At 39.7% G+C, this 16,427-nt stretch overlaps 1 protein-coding gene across 23 annotated transcripts in view; it reads right to left on the reverse strand.

Moving 5' to 3' along the window:
- Nucleotides 1-16,427, reverse strand: part of CACNB4 (calcium voltage-gated channel auxiliary subunit beta 4) — a 266,397-nt gene that overhangs the window by 52,258 nt on the left and 197,712 nt on the right. The window contains exon 1 of one of the 23 annotated variants that reach the window (XM_011511796.3): nt 2,321-3,297. The exons of the other annotated variants lie outside the window; for them this stretch is intronic. Coding sequence (XP_011510098.1) covers nt 2,321-2,323 — 3 coding nt within the window. The 5' untranslated portion in view covers nt 2,324-3,297. Of the gene's footprint in view, nt 1-2,320; nt 3,298-16,427 lie in introns of those variants that run through there. 23 annotated transcript variants of the gene reach the window in all.

Here is a 16,427-nt window from a genome sequence, read left to right on the forward strand (position 1 = left end):
ATTTGTTGCCTTTAAGGGCAACTTTGTCTCTCAGTAGAGGCCATCATTCTAGCAAGGGTAGCATAGATTTTCCTGGCAGCCTAGAACAAGAACTCCTGGTTAGCGGTTTTATCAGAGTGCCCAGTCAAGTCCTGGTTCTAAATTTTGCCTCTGCAACATACTGCAGAAAACTTTATAGAAGTTACTGGACCACTCTGAGACAGTCTTCTTGTCTATTAAAGAGGGACAGTGCCTACTTCACAGGATTAAATGGAACAAGATATAATGAGCAGTAATATTTACTGAGTTCTTGCTATCACACCAGCATGGGCTAGATGTTTTGGACACTTTATCTCACTGAATCCTTGCAGCAGTGGGAAGGCTGAGACTCAAACTCAGGTAGTTCAGCCTTAGAGCCAGCAGATTCACATCCCACACTGAGCTGCATGTGACATTAAAATACCTACTCCAGGACCTGGCACATAACAGGCACACAATAAATCAACTTTTCATCCTCATTTCCTAGTGCTGACATTTTCACATTGATAAAAACAAAAAGCATTAATTTCTCAATGATTATATATGCACAATAACCCATCTTGAAATGTAGCCATTTTTCTTACTGTATTTACTGCATAGAAGATGTACTATAAACCTGATAACCGCAATGTGTCCAAATCCATGAACTTTATATAGTGCTTCTGAAAGTGCCCTTTATAGAGGAAATGTATTTGTTAACTGAATTATAATCAAATTCTTCTGTGCAAATCTACTAGGGAAAAACTTTGGACCTACAAAACGAGTAAGTGCAGGGTGACTTTCATAGACGTATTCATTGCCTAAAAAGAGAGCTATCTTGAAGTCCTTTAAAGCAGAGTTCTCTCAGAATACACCTTTTGTCTGAGTTTAGGTATAGCTGCATAAAATCCAGAGTAAGAGAAAAAAAAACACAATGTTTCAATTTTTATTCATTTTTTCTTTTTTTTGTAGAGAGAGGGCCTTGTCATGTTGCCCAGGCTGGTCTCAAACTCCTAGGCTCAGGTGATCTTCCTGCCTCGGCCTCCCAAAGTGCTGGGATTACAGGTGTGAACCGCTGTGCCTGACCCAGTGTTTCTAAAATATCTACAAAAACAGTTTGGAGTTAGTCCTAGGCAATGCTTTGCTGGAAATGGGATGTGTGATGGACCATTCTAAGGGAGCTGAACTGGCTGCTGTGAAGACATCAGGAACCCAAGTGAGACTGTGGTACGTAAGTCAGGAAGAAGGCACTTGCCTGGTTTTGAAAACATGTCCTGGGGATGGTTAGTGCCTACAGTTCACAAAAAAAGCAAGCTGCCTGCTGAGGTAGTGAGTCAAGCAGCTGAATACACACTCCACTACTGCCACTAGAAGACAGCTGATTTCCTGAAAGTACCTTAACAACTTTTCAAATCCTGGGATTCAATTATCTCTGAGTACACAAGAAGTGACTCAGGGACTCCTACAAATGAACTTTATGTTGAAATGTGAATGACACTGTAAGAATCTCAAATCTAATAAACTCTACTATGGCCAAATATGTAGAAGCAGAAGTTCCTGTTTACTCCCTGTTTCTAAGGATATTGGTAGAGGGAAAAATAAAGCACTGTGATACCCATTTTCATAATTAGTTTATATCATTACAACATTTACTTTGTTGTTGTTTTTTTAATGTCATCTACATTGCTTTGTATATGAAAAAGCAGAAGTCCAACATTCAAGAGCCCACATGTGGCCCATAGACATGCTCTGCTGGCTTGGTACTGGCTTGGTTTCTTGTTTTTATTTATTTTTGGTTTGGTTTGGTTTATTTTGTTTCAACTAGTTGAACATATCCCAGAAAAAAAGGAAGGAAAAGATAAAGGAAAGGATCTGTGTTATTTACAAAGGCACAGAGGGAAGAGCAAGTGAGCTAGAGAGGCCAGAAGGAAACTCCCTGGGCCTGACCACTGGAAGTATCCAGGAAGGGCAAGTGGCCATGCAAGGCTTAGTAAGAGCAGGACAGGTTGGAGAGGCGTCACCCAGATATCTGGCTAAATAGTTAATGATCAAAAAGAGAGAGAGATGGCAAGAAGGAAAGAATGTTAGATGCTAAGAGAACATAACTGAAGACGTAAAGGTTACTAGGCCTGGCCAAAGCTGAAAAGACCTGATGGAAGCCCCATGAGCTTATAATTTTCTAGCATTCTATTCATAAAACAGGTAGGAGCGAGCTACCCAATTTATCAAATGATCTAAAACTGAGCTGTTAACCCACGTGTAAGAAACATGACAGGGACTAGTCCCTCAAAAGCTCTTATGCAGACACCTCTGCAAGTCATACCATGTAGTGATAAAGTCATATTGCAGTAAGCCAAGGTCACAGCACAGCACTCCAGCCTGGGTGACAGAGCCAGACCCTGTCTCAAAAAAAAAAAAAAGAAAGGTATTTTGGTCTAGACTCTTTTCCCTTTAGGGAATCTTCTCAAGTACAAAATGCAAAATGCAGATAGTAACACTGGAAAATCAGCTAGCTGCTGTCTTCTGAGAGAAGGAAGGTGATCTCAAGTGAAACAATGTAAGGGCTTCTTCTCATTCACACAGAGAGGGTGCATAATATCAACAGGACAGCAGCCATGGCTGTTGGATCCAGACAGTATTAGGTTTGACACTGTCACCAGTTCTAGTTGGCTGTGAATCTTAAGCAAGTTATTTAACCTTCTGCATCCTAATTTCCTCCGTTAGAAAATGTAGATAATAATGTATACCTTGTAGAGTTTCCTGGTGCTTGGCTCCAGATGAAACATCATTTCTTTTTCAACATCATGGGGGAAATTCGGAAAATACCAGCAATTAAACTTTGACCCACTAATTAAAGGTTTGGCAGCTTTTTCACATTAAATTTTTGGCTGCCCTAGAGTTTTAGGATTTATATATTGTTCTTTTTTTAAAAAAATGGCTTTATTGAGGTATAACTTACATATGTAAAATTCACACATTTTAAGTGACAATTCAGTGATTTTTAATAAATTTACAGAACATAATTTATACCACAATCTAATAGAACATTTCCAATACCTCAAAAGAAACCTTGTGCCTATTTGCAGCCATTCTCCATTCCCAGCTCGGGACTAGGCATCTACTTACTTACCTTGTCCTTTTAAAACTGAAATAGACTTTCTCACTGTATAAGTAATTTTAGTATTTAGGCAAATCGTAAAATTACAGCAAGGAGAAGCAAGGGTCTACAAAGGTTTGATTTTAAAATGCAACCAGGCTGGGCATGGTAGCTCATGCCTGAAATCCCAGCACTTTGGGAGGCTGAGGCAGGAGAATTGCTTGAGCCCAGGAGTTTGAGACCAGCCTAGGTCACATAGTAAGGCCCCATATCTACAAAAAATAAATTTTAAAAAAAAATTAGGCATGATAGTGTGTACTTATAGCCCCACTACTTGGGAGGCTGAGGTGGGAGGATTGCTTGAGCCCGGGAGGTGGAGGCTCCAGTGAGCCATGATGATGCCACAGCACTCTGCCTGAAACACAGAACAAGACCCTGTCTCAAAAAAATAAATAAATAAAATAAAATGTGATCATACTGGAACAGAATCTTTCCACTGTTGGAAGTGCTGGGCTTCCTAGTCCAACAATCCCAGTCTCTCACAACCTAGCTTAGCTGTCCATTCACAGAACGCTGAGCATCAGTCAGATACTGGAGTGGCCACTACATGAAAGAGAACTGCTTATTTTTCTGGGGATTCTTGCCTCATCTGCAAAATGAGAATGAAGTCCTTCTTTGGGATAGATTTGGGAATCAATAAGATAACACATGTACAACATAGTGTACAAGAGTAATGCTGATACTACTAAACCAGCGCTGTCCAATGGAACTTTTACTGTAATGATGGACATGGACACTGTCTAATATGGCAGCCACAAGCCACATGTGGTTATTGAGCACTTGAAATGTGACTAGAGAGACTACTATGCTGAATTTTTAATTTAATTTTTAGAATTTTAAAGTGTTACTGTCTTTTAATTATTTTAAATTTAAATTCTACCTGTAGCTAGTGGCTACCATATTGGGCTGTGCGGTAGTAGACATTCAAAATGTCAGTTTCCCTTCTGGATTAGATAAACGAACGCTAATCTTGGTGTAAATTTGGCATTTTAAGAGTTGCATTTGGCCAGGTGTGGTGGCTCATGCCTGTAATCCCAGCATTTTGGGAGGCCGAGGCAGACGGATCACCTGAGGTCAGGAGTTCAAGACCAGCCTGGCCAATGTGGTGAAACCGTCTCTACAAAAATACAAAAATTAGCCAGGTGTGGTGGCAGATGCCTGTAATCTCAGCTACTTGGGAAGCTGAGACAGGAGAATTGTTTGAACCCAGGAGAAGGAGGTTGCAGTGAGCCGAGATTGTGCCACTGCACTCCAGCCTGGGCAACAGAGTGAGACTCTGTCTCAAAAAAAAAAAAAAAAAAAAAGTTGCATTAAGTGGACTAAGCGATCATGGAATATTCAGAGAAATATATCACTCCCAGTGGGTTTGTGCCCATTTTTCTCTGTTGTTTGTAATGACTTGACAATGCATTTTTCCACATTGCAGAAGGAACACAGCCCATTCTTGGTGACTTTCCCAGATTTCCCCGGGTAGATGAGTGAATATAACTCACTCACAAGGTTGTCATTAGGCTATCTTTATCTTGACAGGCTGGCCCCTCCCTTTCTTGCAAATGTGCTTCCTTTTCCTTCACCCCCTTTATCAAACATGCCCAGAACTCTTTGCTAGGGCACCTAGCCTAGCAGGGTCCAGGCTGCGTCTCCAAGTACATAGGCCCTACAGTGCCTGGCATGGCAGGACCTCGAGTTTGTTCAAAGAAAGACACAGTCACTCCCATCAGAATCTCTCTCTTCTTTGTTCCATGATTTTAAGTTCTTCTCAGGTGGTTACTTGACCAAGGTTGCTGTGTTTACTTGGTGTGACGCTAATTGTTAGCAACCTCACCCTCATGAGTTTTTTTGTTTTGTTTTGTTCTTTTTTTAATTACAGTCTTCAATGCCTTAATCCAGAGCGCTTGATAAGTATACATTCCCAGCACGTTGGTGGAGTGAGGAACTCTTGAAATTATATCGCCGAGATAACTTTTCTCTAAGGTATCTTGCATGGATTCTCACAAATAGGTTTTCAAAAATGTTGGCTGAAAAAATAAGACAAGTTCTGCTTACAATCACAGCAGCTCACTCTTATTGGATGGAAGACCTAAAATTCAGCCCCAGCTGTTAATCTGACTAAAGCTCCTTTTTAGGTTTCAAAGAGTCGTCAAGGGTAGCAAAGGAGCATGTTCATAAAAGGCTGTTAAAGGGAAGCGGAAGAGAATGAATGTTTGCTCATCCCTTACTAACTTATAGATATTATTATCACATCAACCCTAAGAAGTAAGTTATGATTATCCACCCTGTACGGATGAGGCATCTGAGGCTCAGACAGGCAACAAGAACATCCTCACACACCATTCCACACACCCTCATAGGTCACTACATGGGGAGCAAGGGTGTGGTAGATTCATTTTTTAAAATTTCCCCTATAAAATCTGGTGCAAAAACTTACATTAAAACATCAAACATTTTAGCTGCCTTCAGTAAAACAAAATAACATTCCTCAGTATTTTGTTAATATTAATCAAATACCAGAATCTCACTAATTTACAATGATAGACGTATTTTTTAAAATGCCAGTCTGAGATCATGGGAAGTGAATGGCAGACTGCTTTTCAAAAGACATGTTCACTATTTCTGCATTCACATGGTATCTGTAGGCTACCAAGGTTTTGGTTTGTGAATTTCTTTGAGTTTCTGCTCTAACCACAAAATTTTTCTTCAGCATTTTAGTTCTTGGTAGGTGATTCTAAGGTAGCACTGAGAGTTTTCTTTTTCTCTAAAATGATAATGCCTCCGATTATGTTCACACCACTTATTTACAGATTATTTCTTGTAATTAAATTATAACTATATATAAATATACAGTATAGTTCAAACTAAAGCACAGGCTTTGAATAATCTCATAAATGGAATACAAATTAATGGGTTCTATTACAACTATTTTACATAATTGATTTAACAGGAAGTAATATTAATTTATAAAAGTTGGCCAATCTCACCCTTCCTGTTGTGCTGGCTAGTTTTTGCTATAATTGCCCTGATTTCAGACAGGTTTCTTTTAATTGCTAGTCTGAGGAGACCCATGAATGGAGATAACAGCAGAAGAATTTTAATTGACCCCACAAGTACAAGGAGAGAGGTGACAAAAAGGCCCAGATAGAGATGGAAAGGAAATCTGTACCAGCCATGGCCATTTAGCCACTTCTGAGAAAGGAGAAACTGAGATGTGAGCTACAAGCAGATTTGCAAGTTAAACCAGTGGTAATGATGGTAGCAAGAGGGTAGATTCCTTTTGTTAGGTTGAATCATGAAATTGCAAACATTGCAATTGTAATTTCACGTGGTTCAACATATACATTGGGAAAGAACAAAAAACAAAGATTACTTGATATGGATGCTTTTGGGCAAAAACTGCTGTGATAATCAGCACATAATATTTTACATGTATGTAAGAAGTGCTATATCAATAAGCACAATTAGCAATAAATCAAAAACCTTCTGTGAGACTAAGGAGTAACAGAAGTTGAAAACACCCATGATCATTTTTGCATCCAACAAGAACTTTATTGTAACAGTAGGGACAGTGAGATTGTGGAGCTCACTTTCCTTCTGGGAAAGCGAAAGTGATCACCTACTGGGAGAAGGTGGCCTCCAGCAACCAAGCTTTACTATATACAGGTCACAGAATAACAACATGGGACACTGAGCAGCTGATCTAGAAACCCACCCTGCCTAGTCAAAACTTCATGAGAGCTTCTGATCAACCTACATGACAGGTGTGTGACAGGGTGGCTCCCGCTGGCTGATCCCGGCAGTTGCACTTGGCAGCATTAGACCCGGCACAAGGTCTTCATTCCAGGGTGGCTGCTCAAGCTGCACTAATCTAGTTTCAGCAGAGACGTTAAAAGGAAATCACAGTATTTGTTCAGAAAATCCTGAATATGCTGCTGGTAGAAGCAGTGCTGCATACTGATGAGGCGCTGATCATTGCCTGAAAACACGGACTTCTGTGACTTTTCTGGAAAAGTGATTGACTGAGAGACGCTTTCTTCTCACATGGCCCCCAGAGTGGTTTACAAAGCAGCACACCCAACACTACTTTTACATTGTGGTCTGTTTTCTTGAGAGTCAGATTCTTGAGAGAGAGATACGACAACAGGATATATGTTTCCCCTAAAAGTAGCTTCAGGCAATCACTTGTGTCTTAAAAAAAAAAAAAGAAAAGACTTCCTTCTGTCACATAAAAAAGAATAATATAGCTTGGTTTAGAAGACAGGAAGAAAGTAGGGAAAAGGACTTGAGCCTCGCCCATGTCATTTCTGTAGTCCCAGGAACTGTGTGATGAAAAAATATCTTTAAATAACTCTTTGGAATGATTTTTTTAAAAAACTGGCTAAAGTTTCTCATTAAGGGAATGTGTATGCATGGCTAACTGAATCCAGGTATGCCATCAAAAACAGAAGGAGATCCCCCAGAGGTGGCTGAAGACACAATGGAAACCACAGTAAAGCATCTACACTTCATTTCAGGCAGGAGTCATGTCTTACCAGTTTTGTGGTCCTCAGAGTTCCTAGCACAAAGCTTCATAGGAGCTCAAAACTATTTGCTGAATGAAAGAATCAATGAGATGGCTTCAGGGGGAAGAAGAGAACCTTAAATGGAGACCCCAATACTGCCCAGACTTCACCCAAAGGGTGTACACTCTTCCTGCCTCCAGGGGTTGCTGGAAATTATGTAGGAAAGACCAGTGAAGAATAAAATCAATTTTAACTTGACAGAATGCTACGCAAGTTGACTGAAAAAATTAAAATCCAGAAACTGTTTAGAAAAAAATGTTAAAGGAAGAATAAAAGAGAATTAGCCTTTTTAATAGATATGAAAATATATAAAACTACAAAAGTTAAACATGTTTGGTACTGGCGCAGATCAATGAAATTACAAGGAGACCACAAACTGAGCTCTGTATGGGAGATTAATGCATGATATAGGAAACACTGCAAATCAATGGGAAAAGAATGATTATCCAGTTAATAGTGTTGGGAAACTGAGCTAGCCAACTGGAAAAAAAAATAGATCCCTATTTTATATCTTTTTTTTTGAGACAGAGGCTTGTTCTGTTGCCCAGGCTGGAGTGCAGAGGTACGATCTTGGCTCACTGCAACATCTGCCTCCCAGGCTCAAGCAATTCTCGTGCCTCAGCCTCCTTAATAGCTGGGACTGTAGGCATGTGCCATCATGCAAAGCTAATTTTTATATTTTTCATAAAGATGGGGTTTTGCCATGATGATCAGACTGATCTCGAACTCCTGAACTCAAGCAATCTATCCACCTCAGCCTCCCAAAGTGCCGAGATTACAGGCATGAGCCATCGCACTCAGTCTTATAGCTTATATAAAAATAAATTATAGATGAAGAGATTTAAAGGCAATATTATATATATAACACACATATATTTTAAAAGATATATATGTATATAAACACACCTCTACTACCACTAACAGAAACTATGCTAAAGTTTTAAAATAGCATGCCAAAAAGTTCAGAAGCCATGAAAAGAAAAGATTGATAAATCTGACTACATAAAAATCTTAAACATTTGTCTGGGAAAAAAATACAATAATCAGTCAAAATGAAAATGACAAAAAGAAAACATTGTCACATAAGTGACTTGGGTTTAATATCCTTCATATCCAAAGAACTCTAATAAGTTAATAAGAAAAAGATGAACAACCTATCTCTTCACTCATTAATATGAGAAAGGAGTAAAAATAGAAATAAGGACAAAGCAAAAAAAGAAAACTACAGGCCAATGCCAATATCACTGATGAATAAGACACAAAAATCCTCAACAAGGCTAAGAGTGGTGGCACATGCCTGTAATCCCAGCACTTAGGGAGGCTGAGGCAGGAGAATTACCTCAGCTTAGGAGTTCAAGGCTGTAGTGAGCTATGATCATGCCACTGCACTCCAGCTTGGGCAACAGATCAAAACTCTGTCTCTAAAAAAGATAAAAATAATTTAAAAATCTCAACAAAATACTAGCAAATGGAATCCAACATATCAAATATCACGTGGGATTTATCAAGTGGGATTTATCCCAGGGATGCAAGGATGATTCAACATATGCCAGTCAATAAACATGACACATTGCATCAACAGACTGAAAGACAAAAGCCATATGATCATTTCAACAGATGCAGAAGACTCATTTGACAAAATTCAACACCCTTCATGATAGAAACTCTCAACAAATTAGGGATAAAAGGAACATATATCAATGTAATAAAGCCCATGTATGACAAACCCACAGCTAACATCATACTGAATCCTCTAAGAACTGGAACAAAGATGCCCACTTTTGCTACTGTTATTCAACATATACTGAAAGATTTAGCCAGAGCCATCAAGCAAGAGAAAGAAATAAAAGGCATCCAGATGGAAATCAGAAAGTCAAACTGTCCCTCTTTACAGACGACATGATCTTAAATATATAGAAACCTAAAGACGCCACCAAAAAACTCTTAGAACTGATAAACAAATTCAGTAATGTTGCAGGATACAAAATAAACATACAAAATCAGTAGTGTTTCTATACACCAATAATAGACTCGCTGAAAAAGGAATCAAGAAAGCAATCCCATTTATAATAGTTACAAGATAATAATAATAATAAAATATCTATGAATACTTTTAATCAAGGAGGTGAAAGACCTTTACAACAAAAACTACAAAACACTGATGAAAGAAATAGAAGAAAACACAAATGGAAAGACATCCCACGTTCATGGATCAGAAGAATTAATATCATTAAAATGACCATATTACCCAAAGCAATCTCCAGATTCACTGTAATCCCTGTCAAAATACCAATAACATTCTTCAAAGAAATAGAAAAAAAATCTAAAATTCATATGGAACCAGAACTCAAATAGCCCCACACACACACACACACACACACACACACACACACACACACACACACACAAATCCTGAGCAAAACGAACAAAGCTGGAGGCATCACAAAACCTGACCTTAAAATATACTACAAAGCTACAGTACCTAAAACAGCATGGTATTGGTATAAAAAACAGATACATGTTATCCACGGAAGACATGTTTTTAAAAAGCATGCCTCATTTGTGAAATAGAAGAGCATGTAGCCAGGCACCATGGCACATGCCTATAGTCTCTGCTACTCTGGAGTCTAAGACAAGAGAATTTCTTGAGCCCAGGAGCATGGCACAGACCTCCAACTAATAAAATGTGAAATCATTAAGTCAGAAGATCGCATTGTACAATAATCTAGTATGTTATTTGAAATTGTGTTAAATTTACTGAGAATCTATTATGCATCAATATACCTAAATATACTAGAGGAAGGAAACAGATTTAAGTTCACTTTAAACCCTACCATACAGCTTGAATTTTTACCTTCGGAATTTTTAAAAACAAAAACATTATAAATCTCTATATACCTATATATATTTGTACATAAATATATAAAAATATGCATATTTTTACAGAGTTATACAGCTTAAGATTACCTGCATTAACCCTAAAATAATGATTTGATAGGTGACATTAAATATTAATAATCACTATCAAAACCAATAATAACCACTATTATTTATTGAGCACTTACTATGTCCCATGATTAGTGTTAAGTACTTTTATTAATTGTGTACTTTTTTTTTTTTTTTAGATGGAGTTTCGCTCTTGTCATCCAGGCTGGAGCGCAAATGGGGCAATCTCAGCTCACATGCTCCTCTGCCTCCTGGGTTCAAGCAATTCTCCTGCATCAGCCTCCCCAGTAGTTGGAATTATAGGTGCATGCCATGATATCCAGCTAATTTTTTGTATTTTTTGTAGAGACGGGGTTTCACCATGTTGGCCGGGGCTGCTCTGAACTCCTGACCTCAGGTGATTCGCCTGCCTTGGCCTCCCAAAATGCTGGGATTTCAGGGGTGAGACACCACGCCCAGCCAACTGTGTTCTTTCAAAAAGAATATTTCCTGTGAGAGGCCCAGGGGCCCCAACAGAGACTATATTAGTATGAGTTTTTCTCTTTGATCACCAGTCTCCTAAATTTGTGAAGCCTGTAGGCCTTCTAGGTGATATCGCCTTGTGCAGTAATTTAACTTCAGGTACAAATGCTGTTTTTGAATTAGAAGATGACGAATGGTTGGAAGTCTCTGAAGGTATGGTGGGCCCCTTGTGCACATGCTGCCTCACCAGCAAACACCCAGGGCTCTAGGTAAGAGCTATGCCTACCCCTAGCTTCCTCCACAGAAGAAGCTTATTGTCACAAGACATGCACCCTAGGTTGTGCTACTCCTTACAGCACTGCTTTCCTCGTTTGACTTTTGTGGCCTTGATGGTAACCACACGATACCCACCCCTCCCATCAGCATGGAACAACCCCATTTGGAGTTTGGAGTGGTACAGGCCCATACTCTTTCCTGGGGTAGTGCCCTTCCTCTCCAATCAGTTCACAGGGCAGGAGATGACAGCAAGGCTTGCTTTTTTGATTCCTATCTGCTAATTCTGTGTTCTGTGTGTTAGAGGTCATTATGGCAGAGGAAAAGGTTATTTTTAGTTTAACCTTTGGAACTAGGAAATAGGGTTTTGATTGGAATAAAACAGCACTTTACTGATGTTATCTAATTTAGTCACAATAAAAACTTAAGAGATAGATTTCATTATCCACACTGAAGTAAACAAGGCTTAGAGACACTAAATAAGATGCCCAAGGTCATGCAGCTGGTAAAGTGTGGTGAACCCTGGTTGGACTGGCTCTAAAGCCCTTGCTAATTAACTAATAATCATGCCCAGCAGAAGTGTTGGTAGGCACTGTTGGATGAGCAGATCACTGAGGTTGAAGACATTAAAAAAAGAATCTCTCTTTCTGTCTCTGCATTTAGATTGAACTAAAAATTACTGAGAATGCTAGGTTCTCTCCAGCACATCATCTTGATTTCTCTCCAAAGCTCTTTCGAGGTCCTATGAGAGAAGTCAGGCCACATGCTCAAAGTCACTGGGCCATGATCCACTGGCGAAGCTGAGACTTGCATTTCAAGCAAGAACATCTCTTGGATGATCTCTAAGATTCCTCTGAGGTCTGTTGTTAAAGATGTCAGCCTAGTGCCAGGAATTAGGTCTTCAAGTGCTTGGTGATGGAATCGGTCATTTGAATTGACATCAAAACACATACAATCAACTATTACTAAAGCAGTGACTACCAAACCTTGGATTTTCTCTTCCCTTCCTCCAGTGAATTAGCTCATCAATAGATCCAAGGCGGTCAAAGAGAGAAGCCACGTCTGCTCATCAATTTGTTGGAAACTTTTTTGGACCAAACAAATAGAAAAAAAAGTAACTAGATGAAACCTTGATTTAAATAAGTCTGACAGAGAAGCTATAAGTTAATTTATTCTGATCATTACCTTGATTCTTCATTAGGGAATATAAGGAGAGGAGGTGGTTACTCATACGAGAGCTGGCGTACAATAAGCAGTTTTGAGTGGTGCCATGAAGCTTGACTACCTGGGCTGGAATTCTAGGGCTGCTCCTTACTAGACATTTGCTTTCAAGCACAATACTTATTCTTTCTGGGCTCAGTTTCCTTTCTGAAAGTGAGTATAATAACCTAACTCATGGAGCTGCCATGAAGATTATGCACTCAGAATGTGCAAGCACTCAGCCAAGGAATCACACAATGCAGGTTAATGAGAACACTTCAGTATATGGAATTGTCCTGGCCCTTTGTTTTTTGGGTGAGGCCAATTTGCTGTTGTAATCCCTCTCTTCAAAAAGGGATAGAAATATAAAACTTAATTAATTCAAGTGAGTAGGAATTAAATGCTCTAGTAAGAACTTTGGGACAACTAAAGGTATTGGCTGAAATGAAATATAGGAATCATGTTGGTTGTATTCCTCCATATTTCTTCTGCCTGCAAGAAGTGTGTTTACTCAGAGGCATCACCTTGTTTGGGAATAACAAGAAGACAGTCAGTTCTGGTTTTCTTGGTCAGACAGCAGCATGAATAAGACTGCTGTCCTTTGCATATGAGGCTGACACTCCTGACCTGCTGTCTCCTCTGGGCTGCGTGGCTCTGAACTCGCATCAGCTGGGATGGCTGTGGGTTGCCCCTCCTCTTTATGACCCAGTACCCACTTCAAGACGGCCAGGGCTAGGGACGGTCACCCATCACAGAGCACTGTCGCAACCTCTGCTAGCTGACCCACATACCAAAATTCAAGGCCGGCACTCTCAACAAAACGAGCCAACCCACCACAAACTTTTAGAATCCTAAACAGGTGTGAAAAGTCACCCCTCAGAGACAAAACACTCTATTCCCTCCCAAAAGCTGAATATGAGCTCTCTGGCCAAAGGATGCCCTTTTGTTGTTTCAACGAGGAAAATAAGGCAGCTATTCCTTTTACTTAGCTATTTTTTAAAAATTCTATTTTCTCATTATCTTTGCTTTTCTATGAGATGCATGCCTTAAAAGGAATAATTCCTATTTTAAAGCTAAGACAAATTTATTAAAAATAGGTCTTTTGTTATCATTCTCATGCTGCATCATTATAGATAAATTCACAAACCATATGCATATATTATCCAAATGGCTGGATTTGAAATAAATTAACAAATGTTTGAGTAACATAGACCTATACTGTCTATGGCTGGGTGTGATGATGGGCATAGAGTGAAATCCAAGTCCAGATGAAGGCAAGGGCCTGAGGACAGAGGTAAAGGGTTCAGAGCAAAATACAAGAGGCAGGCAGGATGTCCATTCAGTGGGAAAATTTTTTCCTCCCAGAATCATCCTGAAAGCTCTTCTTCTCCCACCAATATTGATCAAACTCCTTCAGTGCTGCACAGCAAAGATCAGAGAGACCCACAGTGCAGAAGAGGACAGTCCTGAGGATGACAGGTAGCATTCAGCAGGTTGAACTGGAGGAGAGAGGAGGCCCTTCTTCTAGCTGGTGTTGCATGCACCTATGCACTGGCTAGTGGGAACAAGAGAGACGAGTTCAAGAAATTCACACTCAGTACTTTAACAGAGAGTTTAGGGGAAAATGCAGACACAAAGACCAAGAACTCTCTGCTCTTGAATAAATGGTCTTAGATGAGGAAGAAACATTCCAGCAGAGTGGCCTGAGAAATAAAACAGTACTGGATCTGTGAACTATCCAGTACTGCAGAAGGAAGGTCCCTGGAATAAAGGGGCCTCAGAGATACTTCCCTTATATAACTTCCCCAGGGCAAATATGCTACCAACTCCCAAAGACAAGGGACTACAAGTTGGTACTCAACATTCTTGCAGAATCTTTGCAGCTTTCTGTACACATAGTAGAGAAACTATGCTTAATTGTTTAGTTTTAACTTCACAGTATAGCTTTAGTCATTTTTACCGAGCATTTTATTGTCTTTATTAAGTTCTAAATGAAAGAACCCCTTCAGGTGGTCGTATGTGAACCAGGTGAACTGTCGCTAGGTACTAGGTACCCCAAGAGGACAGGGCGGGTAAGTGGACTTCCATATACCAACCATACTCGGTGCCCTAACAACACTAGGTCATGTCTGATTGTCTACTATCTAATATGCAATTCAAATTGACAAATGCTTGTTGAAAAATTAGTATGTATGAGGCCTGTACCTTAGTACAATGGCAGGCAAAAAGATAAATAAGACACGGTCCTTGCCTAATAAGGGCTTATAACCTAATAGGGCTGACAGCTATGTAAATAACCACATTATGAAGGAGAGTACAAAAAGTACCATAAAAGTACCATAACAAAAATACAAATCCAATCAGTGACTAGAAGAGGACAGATTAATTCTGTTTTGGGGGAACAGAAAACCTCAGGGAGAAGGTGAGGGAGGCTTAAGCAGAATTATCAGGAATGGCAGACAGCAAAGCTAAAGGGCAGGAAAATAAAGGCAATGTTTGTAGAGTGATGAATTTGGACAACTCTGTAGTCAGTATGGGGGTAGGAGTTGCAGTGGATGCTAAAGAAGTAAAAGGCATGCTTCTTGCCTTTAAAGAGCTTTCAAACAAGTTGGAGAAATAAGATCTGTGTTCATGAAACAAGGCAGTTCAGTGCTGAACTATGTCATTTAAAAAAAGAAACGAAGGTTACTGACTTTGGAGTTGCAAAAAGGCAGAGGTCAGTCTGAGGTGATGAGGCCAAGAAAGGTGCATGGAGAAGTCAGCGCTGGAACTGTGCCATAAGCATCATCATGATCTGCTGGGGGCAGAGAAAACGTTGCGAAGGCATTTCAAGAAAAGGTGGGGGCAGCATGAACAAAGGCATGAAAGTGGTGCCTTGCCTTATGAGTCGGGGAATGAGAAGTTCAGAGGTTCATGTTGAGGAGTAGCTGGAAATAAAATTGTAGAGTAGAATAAATGCAGATCACAGCAAATCAGGAAAGCCGGGAGGAAGTGTTTGCAGCCATATGGTTGTGAGTAGATGGCTGATGCTGCACTAAAGTAAGTGAATGAGAGTTTCAGATCGAAAAGGATGCACTGGGAAGATCTGCCTGAAAGTGTGAAAAACTGCAGTCAGAGAGACTGACTGGGAGACTGATAGGATAGTAACAGTGGGAAAAGAGAGCAAGAAGTAAACCAGAAACCTATTCCAAAAAGGTCTAAAAATGATCAACAGGATATAGGGGATATACACAATTTACCTACTGCTTAACAGACACTAAGCACAGCATTAGACATTGACTAAAGGGGAAAAAACATCTTTTAATTTAACCATTTTCAACTTGAAGACTTTGGTATTTTTCAGGATTTTCTTTTCTTTTCTTTCTTTCTTTCTTTTTTTTTTTTTTTTTTTTGAGATACGGTCTCATTCTGTCGTCTAGGCTGAAATGCAGTGGTGCAATCACCACTCATTGCAGCCTTGACCTCCTGGGCTCAAGCAATCCTCTCACTTCAGCCTCCCAAGTAGATGGAACTACAGGTGTGTGCCACCACACCTGGCTAATTTTTGTAGAGACAGGGTTTTGCCATGTTGCCCAGGCTGGTCCTGAACTCCTGAGCTCAAGCGATCCACCCACCTCAGCCTTGCAGTGTTAGAATTACAGGTATGAGCCACCGTGCCTGGCCTTTTCATGATTTTTTTGGTAACCGTGTTAAATTTATCAACAAACCATCAGCAGTTTGTCTATCTTCTGATGTTCAGCTGAGACAAGGAGAAACTAATATCAGAGCTGAAAAATAAAATGTAGTAGAGGTGGGGAGGTTTTTAAATATATTGAGTTATTTACTGAAAAGTCCAG

Source organism: Homo sapiens, chromosome 2 (assembly GCF_000001405.40).
Source record: "Homo sapiens chromosome 2, GRCh38.p14 Primary Assembly".
Classification (NCBI taxonomy): Eukaryota; Metazoa; Chordata; class Mammalia; order Primates; family Hominidae; genus Homo; species Homo sapiens.